The 22,969-nt window shown below is 34.6% G+C and overlaps 1 protein-coding gene across 7 annotated transcripts in view; it reads left to right on the forward strand.

Annotated features, from left to right (window-relative positions):
- UNC13C (unc-13 homolog C) overlaps window positions 1-22,969 on the forward strand; it is a 795,839-nt gene that overhangs the window by 713,016 nt on the left and 59,854 nt on the right. For all 7 annotated transcript variants that reach the window (XM_047432538.1, XM_017022220.2, XM_017022221.2 and 4 more), the window contains 2 exons: window positions 4,815-4,895; window positions 17,183-17,330. In XM_047432538.1, the coding sequence (XP_047288494.1) occupies window positions 4,815-4,895; window positions 17,183-17,330 (229 nt within the window). The remainder of the gene's footprint in view (window positions 1-4,814; window positions 4,896-17,182; window positions 17,331-22,969) is intronic.

Here is a 22,969-nt window from a genome sequence, read left to right on the forward strand (position 1 = left end):
ATTATCCCATTCCTAACACAAAAATTAAAACCAGTAATCCATCTGGAAGATATAACTATCACCTAAAATTGTCACCCACACATGTTCAGTGCTGTTGATGGTTGGAAGGAAAGATAAAAGGTAGATGTCACTGCCAAACTATTATTTTGAATCTTGGATCTTTATCCCTTTCTGTATCCCTTTTATTACCTCCCTGGGATTTCTGGAGCCTACTTTGAAAAGTGGATTTATACACTGCGGAAGTTTCTCACATAAAACCATGAAGGTGAAATAACATAGGTCTTACTACAAAAGAAATGGCCCTGGCCATGCATCTAATATCTGTGTGATGTTAGTAAGCACACTGCATCTCCCCAGGCTTCAGTTTCCTGAGTTGAGTGTTCTATCAGCTAGAACTATTTCATTTTCAAGTGATGGAAAGCCAAACATAAGCAAACAGGGAATTTACTGCTACATGAAATTTTATAGTCCAGGGGTAACTCTGGTTTCTGTTACTGCTTGATTAGGGATTCAAACAATTTTACAGGACCCAGATACTCACTGCCTCTCAACTCTGCCCTTCTCCTTGTTTGATACGTTGCCATAACAGACCTTCATTTCTGTGTGTAAGTTGGTTGTCTCTGCTCTCACATCCTTTGATGTTACATCTTTTGAACTTCAAATCTTGTAGAGAAAAACACCCATCTCAGTGCAAGGAATCACAGCAAAGTCTCCTGGAATATCAGTAGCTCTGAGGAAGTATGATCACCATTCCCAAACCAGTCACCATGGTCTGAGAAGTGACATGTGCCAATTGGCTTAACTGACATACTCACCCTGAGGTTTGGGTACAACCCAATCCAAATCCTATGAACTCTGATCGAGATAGAGACTGGTTCCCTAGAGGGTATATACATGCTCTGTGGGAAAAATCAGGGTCCACAGAAAACATAACACTTTAGCATGCTTTGTGGTCCCATTATTTTCTCAATTCACTGAATTCTTTTTTAATTCTAATAACCTAAAAGCACACTATAAATACAATGACCTAACAGGATTATTTCAACAACACTGAAATAACATGAAGGACTAAAGATAGTCTTTGTGTCTATTGATGATGAGAAAAATAACTTCGTTCTGTATCATATTCCATTATTGGCTTTTGAGTTTTTTATTTTTAAATTATCAGTCCATTTAGTTATTACTATTTGAATTACAGAGCAATAAATCTCCTACAGTATTATGCAAAAACCTGAAACTCCAGCTGGCATGAAGAACTTCAAATTGTATAAAACTATTTCCTCTTATTTTATTAGAATGTCACTCCCATTTAAAAAAAATGTTAAACTATGGGTCTTTAAATTTTTAATATATTAATTTGAAAGCAGATATGATGTGCTGAAAAGGTGCTATTTGAAATAATTGTACTGATAGAAAATTTCAGAACTCCTATTTAGGAGTATTGATAGATAACTGCCTAAAGGAACACAAGATCAAGAAAAATGAAACAATGTGGGGAACTAATTGGTTTTCTGTGTTTGGCTATGATTTGGGATTATTCCATTAAACATGTATTTATTCAACAATTTGACATTTTCTATTACTTCATAATCTGGAATTTCATTAGGTGTAATATATATTATATATAATTATATTATATATTACAATATATAATATAAAATTATGTATTATATATAATTATATTGTACAATATATAATGTAATATATAATTATATATTATATACAATTATATTATATATTACAATGTATATTATATATTACAGCATATAATATAATATATAATTATATAATTATATATTACAATATATAATATAATTATATATTACAATATATAATATAATTATATATTACAATATATAATATAATTATATATTATATTATATATAATTATATATTATATATTATATATAATAATATAATTATATATTATATTGTATATAATTATATATTATATATAATTATATTATATTGTACAATATATAATATATAATTATATAATTATATTATATATTGTACAATATAATATAATTATATAATTATATTATATTGTACTATATAATATAATTATATAATTATATATTATATATAATTATATTATATTGTACAATATATAATATAATATATATTATATAGTACAATATATAATATATAGTACAATATATAATATAATATATAATATATTATATAGTACAATATAATATAATATATAATTATATTATATAGTACAATATATAATATATATTAATATATAATATATATTGTATTCTATATTACTATATATATATTAATATATAATATATATTGTATTCTATATTACATTATATAATATATATTGTATTCTATATTACAATATATATTATATATTGTATTCTATATTACAATATATAATATATATTGTATTCTATATTACAATATATAATATATATTGTATTCTATATTACAATATATAATATATATTGTATTCTATATTACAATATATAATATATATTGTATTCTATATTACAATATATAATATATAGTATTCTATATTACAATATATATTATATACTGTATTCTATATTACAATATATATTATATACTGTATTCTATATTACAATATATATTATATATTGTATTCTATATTACAATATATATTATATATTGTATTCTATATTACAATATAGAATATTATATATTGTATTCTATATTACAATATAGAATATTATATATAATATATAATTGAATATATTGTAATATATAATATAATATATAATTATATTATATTATGTATTAGTATATTATATTATATATTGTAATATATAATATTATATATAATATATAATATAATTATAATATATAATATATATTACAGAAAACATTTATAATGTGTATTACATATAATATATATTAAATATATGCTATATATAACATATATTTGCCTCAAAATATTTCATATAATCAGATTTATTTGACATAAAAAAATGCATAAATCTTCAGGAACTGGTGATATAATATTAAAACCAATTGATGAAAATACACCTGAGACTCTGAGTTTACTGCATGCTTTTTACTTGGGCAATAACTCATTGCTGGCCTCTTTCAGAGATCCCCTTACTTGAATGATCTGTTGCTAAATTCTAAAAAATTATTTCTAGTAAGAATTATATTTCTAGCACCAGCGTATATCACTTATTAGCATCTGTTAGAAAATAATGTGACCACATTGTTAAACCAGTCAAGATTGATGAAGCCAGATAAATTTATTTAATAGAAAATATTTTTAATTACTTGTCTGAAAGCATTTTCCCCTATAATTCAGCAAACATTTCTATTACTCTTTGAGTCTCAATGGGTATATAATATTGCTATTTAAAAACTGTGAAATGAACTCATATGATTAACTTGAAATCCCCGTATCAGAGAAAGATTCAGTAAGATGTATAAATATATATCATGGATCCATGAAACATTATACCATGTTGTTAGCAGTATCCAAAGACAATGATTCTATTGGAGCATATAAAATCTGTGACACACATTGAAGGAAGTACAATCCAATTACCAAAAATTTACTGAGTGCCTAGCAGATAACAACTGCCAAAATAGACACGGAAAAGCTGAAGGAGTGAGCGAGACATAGATAGATTATTATCTTCAGGAAGTCGTGGCAACTACCAAATAAAACAGTAAGATAAAGGCCAAAATAGAAGGACAAGCCACTGGGTGTGATTGCGTGGTTTGTGCATTATGCAAAAATGCATACCTAAAGGAGCAAGTGACAGCCAAAATTGAGCCCATGTTCCACTTGCCAAGCCGTATGTGTTAACTTGAAGCTGTCCTCTTATAAAAAATAAGACACCTTTTATTATTTACCAAAGGCACTGCTTTACTCTTCATTCCATACCTGCTCAGAGCTATGTTCCCCCACGTGGGACTTTTCTTCTAATTCACAAAGTCACCTACATAAGTTTAAGCTCCAGAAGGACAAACGTTTTCCCTGTATTAAACAATATATCTCATTCTCTGCGAACAGTGCTGGCACAAAATAAACACTCAATAAATATTTGTTGAGTGTTGTCGAATAGAATAATGGCAGCCCTGGGATGATTGTATCAGTTTTGGGGGATCAGACATTTTTAAATTTTTCCCTTAGTTTTTATTTCCTTTATTATTTTCTTTTTCTGCCATCATTTCCCTAAATAAGCTTTGTATGATGGGTTGAAACAGACCACAGTGAACAACGAAGAAATTCCATTGTAAAATAATGAAATAAGTTTTAAAATCAGTTCTAAAATACTTAAAATGATTATAAAATATTTAAAATATTCACAGCCAAATTTAGTTAATTCCTTGGGGCTTTTCCCAGGAATGAGTAAGAATTGAGGGCATCTAAGAAGAAGAATAAAGTGGAGGCATTATATTTAAAATAGACTTTATCAGTAATAATTGGGAGAGGCTTAAATTTGCTCCTTAAATCCTTTTCATGATTGATAGTCCTCAACGTGACAGACATAAACCAAGGAAGTCAGGTGACAAAATTTCATCACGCATTTTCCAGGTTTCTCTCTTTTTTCCCTAACATTAGTTTGCAAGTGAAAATAAAGCCACACCTCTATCAAAGCACTTCTTTTTAAGTAAATATTGAACATTTCTTCCTTTGACAGAGAGGAGATTTATAAAATATATGACAATCATTTTATTTTAAATGCATTCAGGTGCAGAAGATATTTCAAATAGGAAGTTTGGCATATGGGGATAATACAGATTATGTTTTCAAGTAGTTGTTGAATACATGAACTGGTTGTTTTATAAGCAATTCTTCACCTGTTTTCCAGGAGCACATGATTCGAGAGGATGCCAGGGGTCTGACGCCAAGACAATGCGCTATAATGGAGGTAGTCCTGGCTACCATCAAGGTGAGATTATAATGCTCCTATATATACATCGAGAGAGGCCCCCATTTACCTCCAGAGATAGGTAGCCCTGATCTTAGCCATGTATCAGTAGAGCTGCGCCATTCAAAGAGATAGTAGATAGTTGAATAGATATAGGTTGGTGCAATAGTAATTGTGGTTTTTGCCATTAATACTATTGCACCAACCTAATACATTCCTGGAGGATGCCAGATTTACCCCTGTCTATCTCCTTATGACATCCACAATAGACTGTCCTTATACTTGCTTCTTTTGTCTCTCTCTAAAGCATAAGTGAAACCTATGTTTTAACACATGTTCTCAAAGACATGTACCCTAAAACCCAGATAAACAGATGCTTTGAGAATATTTTGGGTAGACAGAATTTGTTTTTATATGTTTTCTATGCATGTTGAAATTATTTTTAAAATATCAACCCTCCCTTCTCGCTTAGTAAGTACAATAATTTCATTTCATTTTCTGCTGAATACCCAAAGATGTCGTTTGTACGCATCAGCTGTTTTCATAGCCAAAGATTAAAAGTTATTGTAGTGTATGCTAAATATGTGCAGATCTCAAAATGTAACCTAGAAGTTATTTTCAAATAATTTCTTTTATATTTATATCCATATATATTTATATGTGAAAGTTTATTAAAGAGTTTGAAAGATGAGTTTGTCTTCTAAATTCAAATGATGTCCAAAGTTTTTACTCTTCACTGGGGGAAACATCTACTATCCAAGATATGTGAATAGCATAGCTACTAACTATACTGTAACTGTTAGCTACCATGACCCATTTGTAGAGCATAGAACAGTTCTACTGGATAGAAACAATGGTATTCATTTCAACAGAGTTCTATCTGAATAACAGTCACATACTTTCACAAAACTGTCACCTCGTGGCTTTTGTTTTGCAGTTTCAGCATTTAATATGAGGCAGTCTTTTGCTGCTGCAGTGGTAAAAACTGCCACATTAAAGTTGGGAGGTGAGAGTTTTGTGACACCTGGAGGCACCTGGATCACAGAAATGGAGTTTCTAAAGAGGTAGCCAAAATGTTGTCTGGAAATATGGAAAATTTGCAAAATAATTTTTAGGAAAAAATGAACAACATGAAAAAGAAATACAATAAAAAACTTTAAAAGTTTTTTTAAATTATTTTCAAAAATTTGAGGAAGAAATAACTAATCTTTGGAGTTATAGTAGCACTAATAGCTTTATAAAAGGACATGCTAGTAGAAAAAAAATAAGCTCTAGCATGCACCATGAAGAGGAAGAAAAGAAAAAAATTTGGCATCTGAATTCAACTCTTCATGCATTTTATTAGGTCAATGCATGGCTTTAGGAAAGGAAGGAAAATGTGTCCTGTGGAAATAGGGAATGGTATTCACTGTGTTCACAGATCTGGCTTCTGTCTCTAACTTCAACATTTCTCTAATTTTTATTGATGGGGCCAGATGATCACCACCTGCTGGCTGAGTTCTTCTCAGAGTCTAAGATAATGTTGATCCTCAAGCAAATTCCTTTTATCTTGACAGCTCAACTATCCTATCTTCCTGTTTATATCATCTATACTAATATTTTAATTCAGTCTCAGACACCAGACACCGGCCTTGTTCTTTGTGGACAAAACTACTATTTGGTGTCCTAGGTCCAGTAAATGGGTCCATGCCATTTGTCTTGTTTCTCCAGGACTGGAGTCTGACTCTGGTCCTCCTGAGCCCCAAAGCGTGTGTCAGTTCTCCAGTTCCCCTCTTCCCTAACTTCTGTGATGCCAACTCTTTCTCTAGGCACCTCCATGCTAGGCCTGCTGTGCCTGCTATTAGACTCTCTTGACCCTGTGCCCTGCCCATCTGCCAAGGTATTCACCTGATATCTGATTTTCAATGACTGTCATCAGTTTGCCAAAGCTGAGACTCCCTTTATCTTGTCTGTCTGTGAGATTTGCACCAACTTACTGTCCTACCAAACATTAATTGTGAGATTGACTACAAAGGAATTCAAGAGAAGGAAGAGTACAACTTAAAAGAGTTTTAACTCCAAGAACTAAAGATTCAATGTCTCCCCGGAGCCCAGCCAAAGGAGCACTATAATGCAAGCAGAGACCTTATGAGAAAGATGACCTTAGACCAAAGGAGCAGACGCTACCCATGCTAATTTCCAACGGCTGCTAAAGAGATAATCTTTAATTCCTCTTCAGCTCAATTTAATTGAATAAGCTAGAAATGAGAAAACAAAGAAGGAAAATGCTATGAAGTTTTTAGAATATAGGCTGAAATAATGTTTTACATTTTCAAATTTCTCTTATGTACGTGCATCATTTCACCTGCCTTGTAAATATCCTGGGTGTTAGATAGGTCAAGAATGATTAAGAAAATGTGGCACATATACACCATGGAATACTATGCAGCCATAAAAAATGATGAGTTCATGTCCTTTGTAGGGACATGGATGAAATTGGAAATCATCATTCTCAGTAAACTATCGCAAGAACGAAAAACCAAACACCACATATTCTCACTCACAGGTGGGAATTGAATAATGAGAACACATGGACACAAGAAGGGGAACATCACGCTCTGGGGACTGTTGTGGGGTGGGGAGAGGTGGGAGGGATAGCATTGGGAGATATACCTAATGCTAGATGACGAGTTAGTGGGTGCAGCACACCAGCATGTCACATGTATACATATGTAACTAACCTGCACATTGTGCACATGTACCCTAAAACTTAAAGTATAATAATAAAAAAAGAATGATTATTCACCTTTGATAATAGAGAAAATTAAAAGTGAAGAGATTTCAGTTGTTTTTCCGAGGCCATAGCTCTGCTAGTAATTGGCAGAGCTGAGAAAGGACTCCAAATTCTAAAGCCAGTGTCCTTGCTTCTATGTCACATTTTTTCAATCAGTATGTACGAAGTTTAAGTAAAATGTAGCAGGCTAAAAGGGATACTTCTTCAAAGAGATTACTTCTTGCTATATTAAAATACCACGTCAATTACTTAGATTATTTTCTAATTATTTTAAAATAATGTAAAACCTTTCAGCCTCTATACAATATTGATGAAAATATTAACTTTTCTAAATATTAAAACTTTAATTGGACTGGAACTATTTTATAACACCAGTCACATGTAGCTTCTATTATAAGTCAAGAGTGTCAAATATGGCAGGAGTAACAAAAATTATGATCATCTGCTGCAGGTAGGATGGTTGGGCTTTGAGACATTCCATTTACCCGGAAAAGCAACCAAATCAACAATGTTTGAAAGTAAAAGTAGAAAAGTGGCAGCTATGAGACAGATAATCAGTCACCCAATCTATATGTGCAAACTAATAGGGAGGCCAATAGGGAAACTTTAAAGGCGTTCTAGCTGGACTTTGAGTTCCAACCCCATATCTCAAGAAGACTCAGGACTGACATGAGATTCCCCTAAATGTAGATTTCTTTCAAAGAGAAATAGCAGTTACACTTTGACCTGAAAAAATGCTGAATGATTTAATTTTTAAATTCCCCCAGAACCCCTGTTATATGGGCCTGAACATGACACTACATTATATGTTGCAAATATATTTGGCTTCATGCAGTGGCAATACTGAGGTTTCTCCAAAAACAATAAACATGTGAATCAGGACCCTCTAGAAATCTGCATTTCTTGGTATAAGGAAAGGAATTTAACTATAAATTCAAATATAGCTTTGGAACTTATTACTTTCTTATTTAATCCTAGATAATACCATTTCTTATGTTCAGGACTCCAGGCAAACATAAGAGCATGGTGATGAACCACATTTTATTCCTCTGTGTTTCTTACCCTCGCAGAGGTTCTGCCCTATCCTGCTATCTCCATTGTCCATGGGGTGATTCCAAGGGCTTTTTCTCAGCATCTTCTTTTCACCATTACAAGTATAGCTTTTGCCTTGGTTAAAATCCAGCTACTCATGAGAAGAACAAAATAACCTACCTAGTTTAGAGGATTGCAATTCAAATATCATTATTTGAGAGCTTACTGTAGGTAGAAAATATGGTGAGCAATGAGGAGGTGGTTGGAGATGAGAGCACCTGCCTTTGACTTGGGAACAAAAACATCTATAGTCAGCAAAATAATTGTGATCAAAGGATGGGGGAGGGCAGAGAGGGTGATGAATTTTCTCTGAATTTCCAGGGAAAAGCTTCCCAGAGAAGGACATTTGGGGATGTAGAGGATAAAGAGGGAAAAAACAATGGGAGAAAGACATTGCAGGCCTATAGAAAACACAGCATGAGTGACCGAAGAGAAGGCATTGGCCGGCATGAAAACTTTAAATAGTCTAGTGTAGAAGAACTGATCATGACTGGCTGAGTATCACAGGGAATGAAAGAGGAACATTGGATTGGAGCCAGCATGCTGCGGCTTAAACACCAAAGTAAAGAATCTCAACTTTAGTTTGTCAGCAAAAGAGAAACACTGAAATATTTTATGGGCGGGAAGAACATATTATGATGTGTAAAAGAGGACTCCAGTTGTGGTAGAAAATAATTTTTTAAAATATCTGTCAAATAATTTCTAAAAAAAGAAAACTTTAGTGGCTAACCTCTAAAATTATAAAGTTAAGGTGGGTTATGATTATATCTAAGTCTGCAAAATGAGCTGTCTGCCTGGATTTGCCGAAAATATGATACAGGTGTTGGAAAGAACAAAGTAATGATGGAAAATTGCTACCAAAATAGTATATTTAACAAAAAAAGGGAATTCTTCTTATAATCTTGTAAGGAAACAATAGCATGTTCCCATGAGTCAGTAAAAATATTATATTGTGCAAGATCTTCAATCTTGAAAAGTTTGAAGAGTTAGAAGAATTCAGAGAGTTTTATTGGGATTATAAAAAAATAGCTTGCCAAGCATGCAGGCAATATTTTTCCTGATTTTTTAAAATTTAGCAGTACTATTTTTTTTTTGCCTCTCAAATCACAACCAGGTCTCAAGTGCTTTATTTTCTGAAAAGTCATGAAGAAAAAGAAAATCTAGTTATTTTTCAAGATAGAGAAAATGATACTTCATATATAGCTCCTTCCTACCCCCGCGGTGATAATAGTGCTCCTTATCACACATCCTGACATTTGTGACACCAATGTATTAATGTATCTAGGGTGGAAGCCTTTACAAATGTCATAAGGTGGCTATGAATTACAAAAGTAAATAAAATACTGGAAACTACATGGGAAATTATACCACTAACAAGTATAATATCAGGATAGGAGGTGATTAAGAGAGAGAGAGAGAAAGACACCAATGTGCAAATTATTCTCCTCTCCTATGGAAATAATACTACTACTTAAAAGATTATTGAAAGAAAATTACATGAGTCATCACATACAAAGCAATTAAAGCAGGCATATAGAAAACGCTTCACAAATATTAAGTTGTCACTTATATTGCCTGATGATTGGTTCATTTTGGAGGCTTCTCTTTCTACTCTTAAGCCCAAGACCCCACATACTCTACTGCAACCAGTGTGTTTCTTTTTTCCTCCTTTCCCAATAAACCCTTAATTCCCTCTCAAAGGAGCTGACTATTAAATCTGACTCTTTTCCCCAAGCAATAGTTCAAATCCTTAAGGCTTTGTTCTCTGGCCTTTTGGATTCCTGGGCCCAGCACTTTTTCCCTATAAGAGCACAGCCCTGGTTAGATTCTTTAACACCTGAGACTCCCCTTTGAGAAGCAGTGCTGTTCATTCTCTCCGGGAGTTTCTAGTCCAGATTAAAAGCTGAGAGAGGTACATTGAAAATGAAATAATGATACATGTTAACTTATAACAGTGTAAGAGATGGAACAGGTGATCCAAATACTAATTGAGGGAAACAGATTAAAAATATCATAAAGTTTTAGAGGATGTGATCAACCAGTATGGACTCGAGATCAGGAAAAGCTGCAATGGTCTTGAAAGACAGATGGGCGTTTACAGGCTGGATAGAAAGTTTTTTTTTGGAGGAAGACTCATGACATGAACATCAACAGGAAAAAGGAATTTCACCAGGGAAAGGCACAAGACAAGAAGGCTTGGAGGCAGTGAGTAGACTACTCTGTGGACTGGCCTGGACTTAACTAGGTGTTTGCATAATGAAGCAGTGTAAAATGAGGTTGATGGGAAATGTTTAGGTTGAAAATACAGAGGTCCTTTTGTGCCCTCAGTATATTTCATAAAAGAGGATTCATCGATGATTTTAAAAGGTTATGCTAAAGTCATTTCACCAATAGGGAATCTTAAGGAAATGCACAAATTAGATTGCATAGTTCAAGATTGTAGCCAGAGATTTGAGTTCCAGTTATTTAGTTCATAAGATGATGAGAGCTATCAGCAAGGTGGTGGCTTTAGGAGGAGAAAGGGAAAGATGGATATGAGTGACACAAGCCAGGGAGAGTTGTTGGAACTTGGCAACTGAATATGGGGCAAAAAGGAAAAGGAGCCCAAAATGCCTCAGAGATTTCAGCCCCAGCGACTGAGAAAGCATGGTTCCACCAAGAAAAATGGGAGACAGCCAGGAAGGCTATTTTCCTAGTGCCATGTTGGAGTTAGATGCAATGGCAGGAATGTGGAAATCAATATTTAAGAACCTGCTTGAGATAGGGGCTGATGCTTAAAACCCAATGCTGAGTTCTATTTGAGTTCTATGTTATTCTGCCAATTAAATATATTTCTTACAATTGGAAAGAACTCCAGCATTCACATAGCTCTTCCAGTTAGAGTAATCACCATTTGACAACACCAAAGGTAGAATGGATATTTCTGCTACCATTCTATAAATGAATTAACTGATAGCCTAAGAGGTTAAATAAATTATGCAAAAGTCTGACTGTATAGGGGACAGATGAAGAATTATATTTTCTAGCATATTATAAGGATCAGAGAATCAAAGAGGTTAAGAGGATTCTAGACTCTCAGAATTGGAAACATGACTGAGCATCTCCCACTCTTGCCACGTCATCTACAATGTTGTCCGCACATGGTCTTCCGGCCACCACTTAATAGCAGCCAGTGACGGGACCTCACTAACTTACAAGTGGAAGTTTTGATTTTTAAGATGCATTATTATTGGAAATTTTTGATGAATGTGTCAAAGAAAAATCTGCTCTCCTGCTATGTATTGGTGCTCCTTCTGTTCTTTGGAACTACTATAAAATTATTCTGTTCCCTTTTCTGTGTGATAGACTTTCAGATATCGAAGAAAACTATCATGCCATCCTATATCATCTGAAGCTGTTTATTGAATAACATGCCTTGTAGACCTTATGAAATTCTGGTCATCTATTTTTAAAAGGCCTCCACTTTTCATATTTCTTATAAATGATGAAGCCCAAGAATGAACTTAATATACCAGATGTGTTCTAACCAATGAAGAATGTTCCTGCCTTACCAAACCCTTATACTTGACCTGTCTACCTCTGTTGATGCATGGTCAGATTTCACTTGCTTTAATAGCTGCCTTCTCACTTATGAAATCATGTTGAATTTGAAAGCAAATAAATCTTTATGACTTTTAAAAATTTTCTGTTGTTAAGCCACATCACCCCTATTCTGTACTTTGTGGTAAACATGAATATTGATATGTATTATGAATTCTGGCTTTTTACTTTCCTCTTTGCCATCTCATTCTAGAAATGTAGACCCAGCATTCCAGACTACCGGGACCCTTCTAAAGCCAAATTTTGTCATCCAATGTAACAACTTTAAGCTTCAGCTCAATTGCATATCTGTCAAACATGCTTTCTGCCTTTGTTTTTTTAAGTCCATAGCAAAAATATCAGCCATGATAGAGAGGAAGAGAGAATGTCATCCAGCTAATGTCTTTATCCTTCTTTGCACTAAATGACCAACTCCTCCATAGTCCTTCAACTGAGAGGTTACAAATTCTTTTCTTCAATAAGGAGGAAATGACCTGTCCTAACTGTTTTTTGCCCATTTTTTCCTGCTACATTAGGCCAGTCTAAGTAAAACATCTGAACAAATCAAACTGAAGTTTCTTACATTATACTGCAGGCCATAGAGGAATTACAAGAAACCAAGTCTTGGTCTTTTGTTTAGAATCAATGGAAAATAATGCACTTTTCACATATTTAATGTTTTCATTTTACTGGGCTTTAAACCCCACATTTACAAATTCCTTTCTAGCATGTTATCCCCCAACAAAATGCCCATTATAATGAGTAGTAATCAACTATACTGCACTGAGCTATGGATAGTGGGTTTTGTCTAATAATTAAGATATTTACTTCCATACATCACCCTCACATTTATATCCTTCAAACCCAAGCCTCAGCAAAATGCAGATTCTACTCTCCAGTTCCTTCAGAGTCATGGGCACAGAGTCAAATTTGAATGTAAAATCTCTGAATGCCAAGGTCCATGTAATAACTGCAGCCCCCTTTCTCCTGATTATCTGTGCCAGTAAGGTAACCAGACTGGTGCTCTTATATGCTGTCATTCCAGGTTTTGAACACTGTGTGAAAGGTTTTCATAAAGTAGAATTCTCGTCAAGTTTGCATTTGCATAACCATAGAAATCACCTTCTTCACTGTTGAAGTGAGGAGCCTATGGCGTATGTTATTTGTCTGTGTCCATTGAATGGGATATTTTCATTCTTACCACCTGGCAATTTGTTTTCTCTTCTGACATAGCTACCCTCTGTCCTGGGTTTCTGTCTCGGGACATTTCATATTGTAAAATGCACTCAAAAGACAAAGACATTAGTTTCTGCCCTTAAAAAACTTCTGTTCAGTAAATATCCTGCTAGAGACTTTAACGGAATAACAAGTAAAACTCTATGGCTAAAAAAGAGGAAGTCAGTTGAGTATCGTAATCTAAAACTTTAGGGACCTTTGGGTTTTCCTCATGTACAAGCACACACCTTATTTATGATTTCATTTCCTGATTAGTCCCCAAAGTCCCAGAGTTCTACAAAATAATGCCTTAGGATTAAAAACATGCCTTTCTATAAAACTATTTTAAAAGATTCAAGCACAAATACAGTTTATGCTTTCATAGCTTAACTCTTTTTACCTTCTCCTATGAAGCTTTCTAGGCCCTCAACAATATCTCAATTATATGAAGTTCAGTGACATTCTTCTGTTCTTGGGTTTCCCAAATCATATTTCATGGAACACTTGTATTCCCAAAAGTATTAGCCCAGTGATATAGGTGTCCTATGGCCTAATAATTTTAGCAACAAGGTATATTAATAAACGATCACACAGATCTCTTTACCACAGTATGCCTCAGAGCCTCTACCATGTTAATAAGCGTTGGGAATTTTTAGGAGTGCAGTGTCATCTCTTAACTTCCATAGGCCCTCTACTACCTAGAGGCAGCACAAGTTTAGTGATGGGTATAGAATAACAGTGGAAAACAGTATTTTTAAAACTATGTCTGAATTATACTTGGAGAACTACAAACACTTTAGTTCTCCTTAGATAGTGCCGAGACTCCCAGGGTTTGTCTTGGTTACTTGGTGGGATTGTCCTCTGTCTCTAGTTCATGAGGGTGAATTACCTACTGGCTGCTAAAGTTAAAAACAACAGTACTTAAAAACTCATAACCACCAAAGATGTCACTTCTTTGGAAGCCTTTGCTGGCTCCTTAGATAACAGAATTGCATGCCTCCCCCATTATCTGTATTTTCAAATCATTTTTCTAACACCTGCAATGTATTGTTGAAGTCATTTGTTTAAATGTTGGTTACATTTCCTACTAGATCATAATCCCTTTTGGAGCAACCACTGTGTCTCTTTTGCTTTATAATGTTAGCATCCAGCACAAGGTCTGGCTCATGATACAGATTTAATAAATATTTATTAAAGAAAAGAGGGAGAAAACAGGTGGCACAGCAGACACTACCACAGATGCTGTCAAGTATTAAGGTGACTGAAGAATCCACAGTGCAATCTTACAAATTAGACAGTAAATCCTGTGGTCATCCTTATAAATGCTGTCACTCATACTACTTTATATACACTGTTAAAGAACAGTTTTTAAAAGAGAGTATAATTGTGATATCCATGCAGTTATAAAATGTGTCAAAATGTTATTCATCAATTAGTGAGAGAACCAGGTAAGATGTTACTACTGTCTCAAAGGAGAATTCCAGAAACCAAGCATATACAAGCAATAAGAAAAGCTGGAATAGAGGCAAGACAGATTTATCCGCAAAGCAATATTCAGTTTTATTCCACCCAAAATAATTAATTTGTATTACTAGGGACAAAAATCATCTATACTATTATTATTAATTTTCTACAATTTATAGAGTTTTAAAGTAGCCCAAGGACAATGAAAAGTGAAAATAACGCAAATGTGTATCATAGACAGAATATCCACTAATCTTTTCTGCTCCTTTTTCCCCAGAAGTGGCAAATTTTCATTTTATCAGTTTTGGTTTTCCTTCCCTCTCTTCCTCCTCCTCTTCCTGCTCCTCCTCGTCCTCTTTTATTATAATCATCTATCACTTTTGCTCAGGTTTTATAAGACTGGGGCTTACCTGAGAAATATTAAGAGAGAAAGTGCCTTCCTTTCCAGAGTTCCCCCCCTACTCTTGGCTCAGTTTCTAGCATTGCTCTTTACTCTCAGGCACAGTTATTTCTTTGGATGGCTCCTTGATTCATTATGTAAACAGTCCTCCAGAGAGCACCCCACCACCCTTCTAGGTGATACAGAGTCAAGACCAATCTATATTTATGTGTATCCCCCTCAATACATCCATGAAATCTTTTTTCCATCCTTAAATACTGTGTTTCTCAAAGAAAGGAATTGTCATATTTTTTCATCCATTAAGGCACCTGAAACAGTTCTGGACTAATAGTCCTCTAAATACTTTCTTCATGTGAAAATGTTTTAACATTCTTTATAAGATCCAGGTGTAGAACAATTTAAAACTTATGTTTTGTCTTTTACTAAAGAGAAGACATTTTTTCTGTGCCTCCTTTTCATAGCATATGTAGTTTTTGCCAAAGCCTGTGTTTTCACAGAGCACCTAGCTAGAATCAGTAAATGGAATTTCAAAGGACCATAGGTTTCTTTCTGCCTGGGGAGGGTATCTATAATTGTACCAGTGTTTCTTAAGTTTAAATCCCATTTGCCTAATTTCTCTGGCCTACACCCTGAATCTCCTCTACAGTATACTCTCGGAAAGTACAACCAGATGCTAGCTAATACCCATAAAATTTTTCTGCATCTCCCCTTGAATAGGGAAAAAAAAACTGAGAAAATCAGCTCATTGAAATGTCTTGCCTGAGAAATTCTTAAGGAGTGGGAAAGAAGAATGACACATACCCATTTAGGAGAGCGTCTCTGAATAATTTCTTGAGCTTCTTTGACATATTTCGTTCTGTGCTAATTATAGATCACAGTGAGCCACAGTTACTAGTGAGTGCTTTGTTTCCTCTAGCATTGTTGGTACGGGAAGAGAGAAAGAGAACCGTTTATCTAAACTTAATAGAATGTTATAAATCTATTATCATTTATAAACAGGTAGAAAAAAACATCCTTAGTTCTATCATATATCTCTAGACAGTCTGCATTTCCAAGAGATGTCTGTCTGTGCATAACACTTGTAGTATGAAAAATGCTAACATCCCTCAGTGACCATATTTATTGTCAATTACCATATATCTTCTCTATTATCTTATTTATAAATATTGGAAAATTTTGAGTTTGGTTGAATAAAAATAGCAAAAAAAAGTATTATTATATTTATCAGACACAAAGTTCAAGGGGTGTTGGATTTCCAAGGACCACTCTGCTTCGTCAGGTTGGCCTATATCTGCACCACTGTGTGATTAGAGGATGGGGCAGATGGAGTGGCAGACACCTGACCTAGAATCTCAAACTGGTATCTGGAAAATATGTGGCCGGAAGCTACCTTCCCTGTGAAATTTTGACAACCCTTGGTATTTTTCTCATATTCAAGAAACAGAAGTCAATAACCAGGTTGATAATTGTTACCTAAACCTGTCATTCTATAAGGATTCTGACTGCTACATCAGCATGATCTCATTTGTTTAAAATCTTGCATAAGAGATAAAGGCTTAGGCCTTCTGGGATATGAGGTCTGTGATGTTGAGTGTCATTTCAGAGATGTCTAGGGACCTGAATTAGACGTTAATAACTTAGCAATGGGAAAATGATGGAACCATTTTTTTGTATCTTGCATTGATCAAATTGTATTATTCCATTTGAGCTTCTCTATTAGAGTAATAAATTCTGTCTTCCAATACTTCTCTCTAAATGCCTCGGCTTATTTTTTTTTCTTTGTAGCAATACTTTCATGCAGGAGGAAATGGCCTGAAAAAGAATTTCTTGGAGAAAAGCCCAGATCTTCAGTCTCTGAGATATGCTCTCAGTCTTTATACCCAAACTACTGATGCCTTGATAAAGAAATTCATAGATACTCAAACCTCACAGAGTAAGTAACACATAGGACCTGAGAATAAGGTAAACTGAATACTAAAATAAAATTTAACATCAGAATTATTATACATAGTCCCAATAATTTTTTGCTGTTGTGAATTGAAGTATCATTAAAAATGGAGAGTTATGGTTAATAGAGAATACCAATTTTTTTAGTGTTCATGAATTATAATTTTATAAATAATTTTAATAACACTAAGATGTATTTAATACTAAAGCTCTATGGAATGGCTGACTTGTTGGTGATTTTAACTTCCATAAAACTACTTTAAGTAAAATCTACTTTTTAATATTTATGACCAAGATATTTTCTTCAATTCAGTATAAAAGACTCAGTGGATTTCTGGTCTTGGTATCTTCCAAAAAATGATAATAATTCCCTAAATCCTAATTTCGAATGTAAAATCCCTGTGCTCTGGGGTTTCCATAAGGGAAATCTCATTTTATGCTCATTTCATATGAAAAAAATTACAAGATTTCTTTGAAACAGGCCAAGAGGCAGGCTTGTTTCATGTGTTTCATATCTTTGAAACTCAGATATGTTTCATGTGTCAAAGTTTCCACCTCATAAGCTTCTAGGATATTACTGTTCAAAAATTTTTCTTTCAAGTTGCTTTGTGATTTATTATATTTTGGTGATTATATGCATTTAAGATCTGGCATTTCTAAGAGATTATTGAAAATGTCAGTACGAGTCAAAAGAGCCAAATGCAGGCTCAAACTTCAGAACCTAATAAAAGTTATACTACAGAAATAATAAAAGTAAGTAAGAAGACACTAACTTCATTCATGAAAGATCCTTGGAAAAGGGAACATACAGATAAGTTTTTAACTGTGATGAAAATACCCTGGACTCATCATTGTTTCCTCTTGGATACATTAATTTTTCTACCTATATCAAAGATAAAGCTAAATGTGCTAGGTAGGTAGTCTGCCTATAACACTCTGTGCTTTTTGATACTGTCCAATTAAAAACTACAATTATCCCTTTTCATATATCCCAGGTTATACTGTGGGATATTTCCAGAAAGGGAAAAGTCGAGCTCATGAGAGATTGTCAAGAGATGCAGAAATATTCAAAACATTATTCCCTGAATGCATGCTCATGCTCCCTCAAGGTTTTCTAAACTTTATAAATACGAATACAATTCTAATATATCAAATAAATAGTGTTGTAGCTTTACTCCAAGAAAGAAATGAGTATATAAAACTTTTGCTTCATCTTTATAGGTTTACATTTATGTGTACACCCCCCCCTCCAACACACACTCATATACATATACAGACAGTCATCCCTCGGTATCCCTGGGTAATTGGTTCCAGGACGTCCCACGGATAACAAAATTTATGGATGCTCAAGTCCCGGATATAAAAATGTATAGGAGTTGCATATAACATATGCACATCCTCCCATATATTTTAAATCATCTCTAGAGTATGTAGAATATGAAAAATGTAAATGATTGTTATATAGTATTGTTTATGGAATAATAACAAGAAAAAAAGCCTATACATGTTCAGTACAGATGCAATTTTTAAAAATATTTTCCATCCGCAGTTGGTTGAATCTATGGATGCAGAATCCATGGATATCAAGGGCCGACTGTGTGTGTGTGTGTGCATACATCTATGTATGTTTGTTTGTGTGTGTGTGTGTGTGTATAATCAACTATGGTATATGGAATTTGGCATAATTACCTTTTTATTACATGTATTATATGAAAACATTAAAAACATATGGGAAGAGGAGAGGATTCTTAATTCTAATAACTCACTGACAATATAATTGGTTTTACTCTTAGTTTATTTCCTGTTCCCTCATTTTCTGTTTTTTTTCTGAGTATTCAATTTTTTTTTCAGATAACTGAAATTGGTAGGATATAGATACGAAATGGTTTTTAATTTTCTCCGTTAGCTACCTGTAAATATGCCTTGTGGAAACTTATTTCCACCTCCTCCAGCCCTCCTATCCACCCTCGCCCAGCTGCCCTCACCAGACATGTTCAGGCCCAAAGGACTTAGTGTATAAAAGGGAGCCTGATGTGCCACTTACTCCTCCTTCCCCATCCACTTACAGGTCCCTCTATTCCTCAGTGTTTTGGGGAATGGAAACTAAAGGGGAAGAAGAAGAGGCCCTCAATGCTTCCTATATGGTTGCATCCAAACGCTGGTCTCTCGTGTGTGTTTCTGGGGACCCTCCTATCTGTACATTTCCTTGAGGAGTGAAATCTATTTCATATCAATTCCTGTCAGTGTCTCCTGTGACTGCCTACTGCAGCATATGCCATAGATTCTTGCTACTTGAAAATCCATTCCTTGTGGCTAGCCCTCTGGAATGGGATTCCAGCAAGTAAGCTAAAGCCCACCTTCCTCTTGTGAGGTTCACTTGAGCCATACAAAACTCATACATTTTTTTCAAATTGTTGGTGGTAATGGAGACTTCTCCACTACTACCCACTTTCTCCACCCTGCCATTTCTCTAAAATTCTCTTCTCTACCTGTACATAAGCATTTATACTTCCACATTAGGGGAGGGACAATGCTATGGCTTGTTGTAACATGACCATGTTCAATAAAAAATGGAGGCAAGCTAAAAAGTCTTCTCAGTTAGTGAATCCAGGATTTCTGAGTAATATTCATTCCCTCTCTTTTTTTGATTCTATCACAATCCCATCTCAATATTCATGACCATAGACTGAGTAATAAAGTTAGCCAACAATACACCCTTTGGAAAATTGTGATGGGCAAGAGAGATCGATGAAAATTAGCTGCATTTTAGAATTATTTATAAAACCATAAAAATGAAAATATAGTAGAAGATACAATACTTATTTCTGTAACAAATCCTAAAGTTATAGTTTGTACTTATGACTTCCAAATTCTTCTGTCCAGTCCATGTTCTCTTTGGCGCCAAAGGAAACTCAGCTTCCAAGATCCCTTAAGTGACAGAGAAATATAGAAAAGTTTAATTATTGGAGTCTTATTTATATAAAGTGCTATACAATTCTTTGAACATTTGACACTGGACATGCTGAAATAGAGGCATTTGGGTTCCACCCTTTGTATTCCATTGGTGCTCTTCCTGCAGATGATCATTTCCAATCAATGGTAGGATCCATTATCCTGTACCTGTTTTATTCTGGTGGCATGGTGTCAAAAATGACCAAATGAAGTCTCAGTTTCCAGTGTATATTAGTCCATTCTCATGCTGCTAATAAAGACATATCCAAGAGTGGGTAATTTATAAAGGAAAGAGGTTTAATGGACTCACAGTTCAGCATGGCTGTGGAGGCCTCACAATCATGGCAGAAGACAAAGGAGGGGCAAAGGCATGTCTTACATGGTGGCAGGCAAGAGAGTGTGTGCAGGGGAACTGCCGTTTATAAAACCATCAGATCTCATGAGACTTAATCACTAGCATGATAGCAACACAGGAAAAACCCACCCCTGTGATTCAATTACCTCTCACCAGGTCCATCCCATGACGTGTGGGAATTATGGGAGCTACAATTCCAGATGAGATTTGGGTGGGGCACAGCCAAACCATGTCACGGTGTAAATATTGTTGCAATTATCCAAATAACTGTCTAGGACTTAGCACAATACCAAATACCCATGAATAGTCATTGTATTTCATTTTTGTTATTTTAACTTAGATTTTGTTATATGATTTAGGAAGATCATACTGGTGTTATAGTATCAGTCAAATATAAAGTAGTAATAGCTGACACTGCTTACTGCAAACACCTGCCACTCTGCCTGAGGAGCCACAGGCACAGGCTCGGTCCTATGCAGGACCAGCTGGAGTGCCAGAGGGTTAATGCCTCAGGGAGCAGCCCCCTACCAGTGAAATACAGGAAGTTGGTGGGTAAGAAAGGAAGAAGAGAAAATCTCTATCTTCCTCATTTGTGACCAACTCTGATGTGTATTCTACATATACAGCACTCCAGAGTTTCCCTATGAGATGGGATCCAGTTTCCCTCAGAAGGCTGGCTTGACACACACTTACTTACTTTTTACTTACTTATTTTTTTAGCTTATTTACTTTTTTTTCTTTTCTCACCTCCTGGCTCCTTTCCCAGTGTTTCCTGGGATCCCTCCCCAGGCAGACCACTTACCTTTTGATGCTTGTCTCAGGTTTACTTCTGGGAGAACCCAAACCTAATGTCAGGTGGCTAAAAAGCAGGGTGCCAGATCCCGGGTCAACATGTATCTAAACTCTGTGCCCTGACCTCTATGTACACCTCTCCTTGAGGACAAGTAAAAAGGCTCACTACCTTGAATGAATGTTTCCCTATTACTTGGGCTTTTTCTCTCATGTGTTCTTAATTTAGAAATACAGAACTAATTAATGAAATACAACTTTTAAATGAGTATTATCTGGGAAAAAAATTTGTATTTTTTTCCAAATAATAAGCATAATCATTTACCTTATGATCATAAAACCCAAAGTGATTTTTTTGTCTCTTTAATTTTTTTTTTTTTTTTTTTGAGATGGAGTCTTGCTCTGTCACCCAAGCTAGAGTGCAGTGGCACGATCTCGGCTCACTGCGGCCTCTGCCTCCTGGGTTCCAGCGATTCTTCTGCCTCAGCCTCCTGGGTAGCTGGGATTATAGGTGCACGCCACCATGCCCGGCATTTTTGTATTTTTTTTAGTAGAGATGGATTTCACCATGTTGGCCAGGCTGGTCTCAAACTCCTGACCCCAGGTGATCTGCCCACGTCAGCCTCCCAAAGTGCTGGGATTACAGGTGTGAGCTACCGTGCCCGGCCTGTCTCTTTAATTTTTAATTCATGTTCTGTGGGGGAAATTACTGTTTCAAACTGCATTGAATCATTATTTAAGTGTTATTTAATCAAAATGTGTGTTGTATAAAAAGTCTTGTGATTCTTTAGAAATCTAAGTGCACTTTTAAAAGCATTTGTGTTTTACTTTTCTTATTCTCATATAATTTCCCCTTACTCCATTTTCTTCTTTTCCTTTCTCATCTCCTTCTCTTTTTTCTGTTTTTCTCCCTTGCTTGTGTTAGAAAAGTAACTATTGCATTTAATATAAGGAAAAAGCCAATAACTTATAATCAATTTTTTTCACTATTTTCAGGCTTTAAGACATACTTCCCTTTAAAAATATGTTTAATTGAATTCAACTTTTTAATAAATGGGTTTATAATAAATGGTTTAATAAATGGGTTTCTAAGTATGGAAATGCCTCTTGTATCTTGCTCGTTTATTCTTTTTTCCTTCTTCACCTCTTTCTTGCTCTTTTCTCTCCTATTTTTGTACTCCTTTCCTCCTTCATTATTCTCTTTTGGAAGAGATTTGGATGTCATCTTTCTGTAGTAGTTAGACAAAAAGAAAAAAATACAAGGAATTGAATCCCATTAGAAATTTATGAGCCAAATAATTCAAATATGATCTATCATATTGGAAAAACAGTCTTCTCTCTCTGTTCCAAACATGGAAAATAAACAAATCCAAAATGGATGTAGAAGTATTCTTAAGTTTTTAAGTGGAACTGAGAATTTAATATATAAGAGTCACATGTTTATTATTCTAGAAATGTACTGCAATATTAAAACACCATCTTATTCTGCATCCATTTAACAAACATTTACTGAGTGTCCCCTCTGGGCT

The sequence above is a fragment of the Homo sapiens genome, chromosome 15 (genome assembly GCF_000001405.40).
Source record: "Homo sapiens chromosome 15, GRCh38.p14 Primary Assembly".
In the NCBI taxonomy this organism is placed as follows: Eukaryota; Metazoa; Chordata; class Mammalia; order Primates; family Hominidae; genus Homo; species Homo sapiens.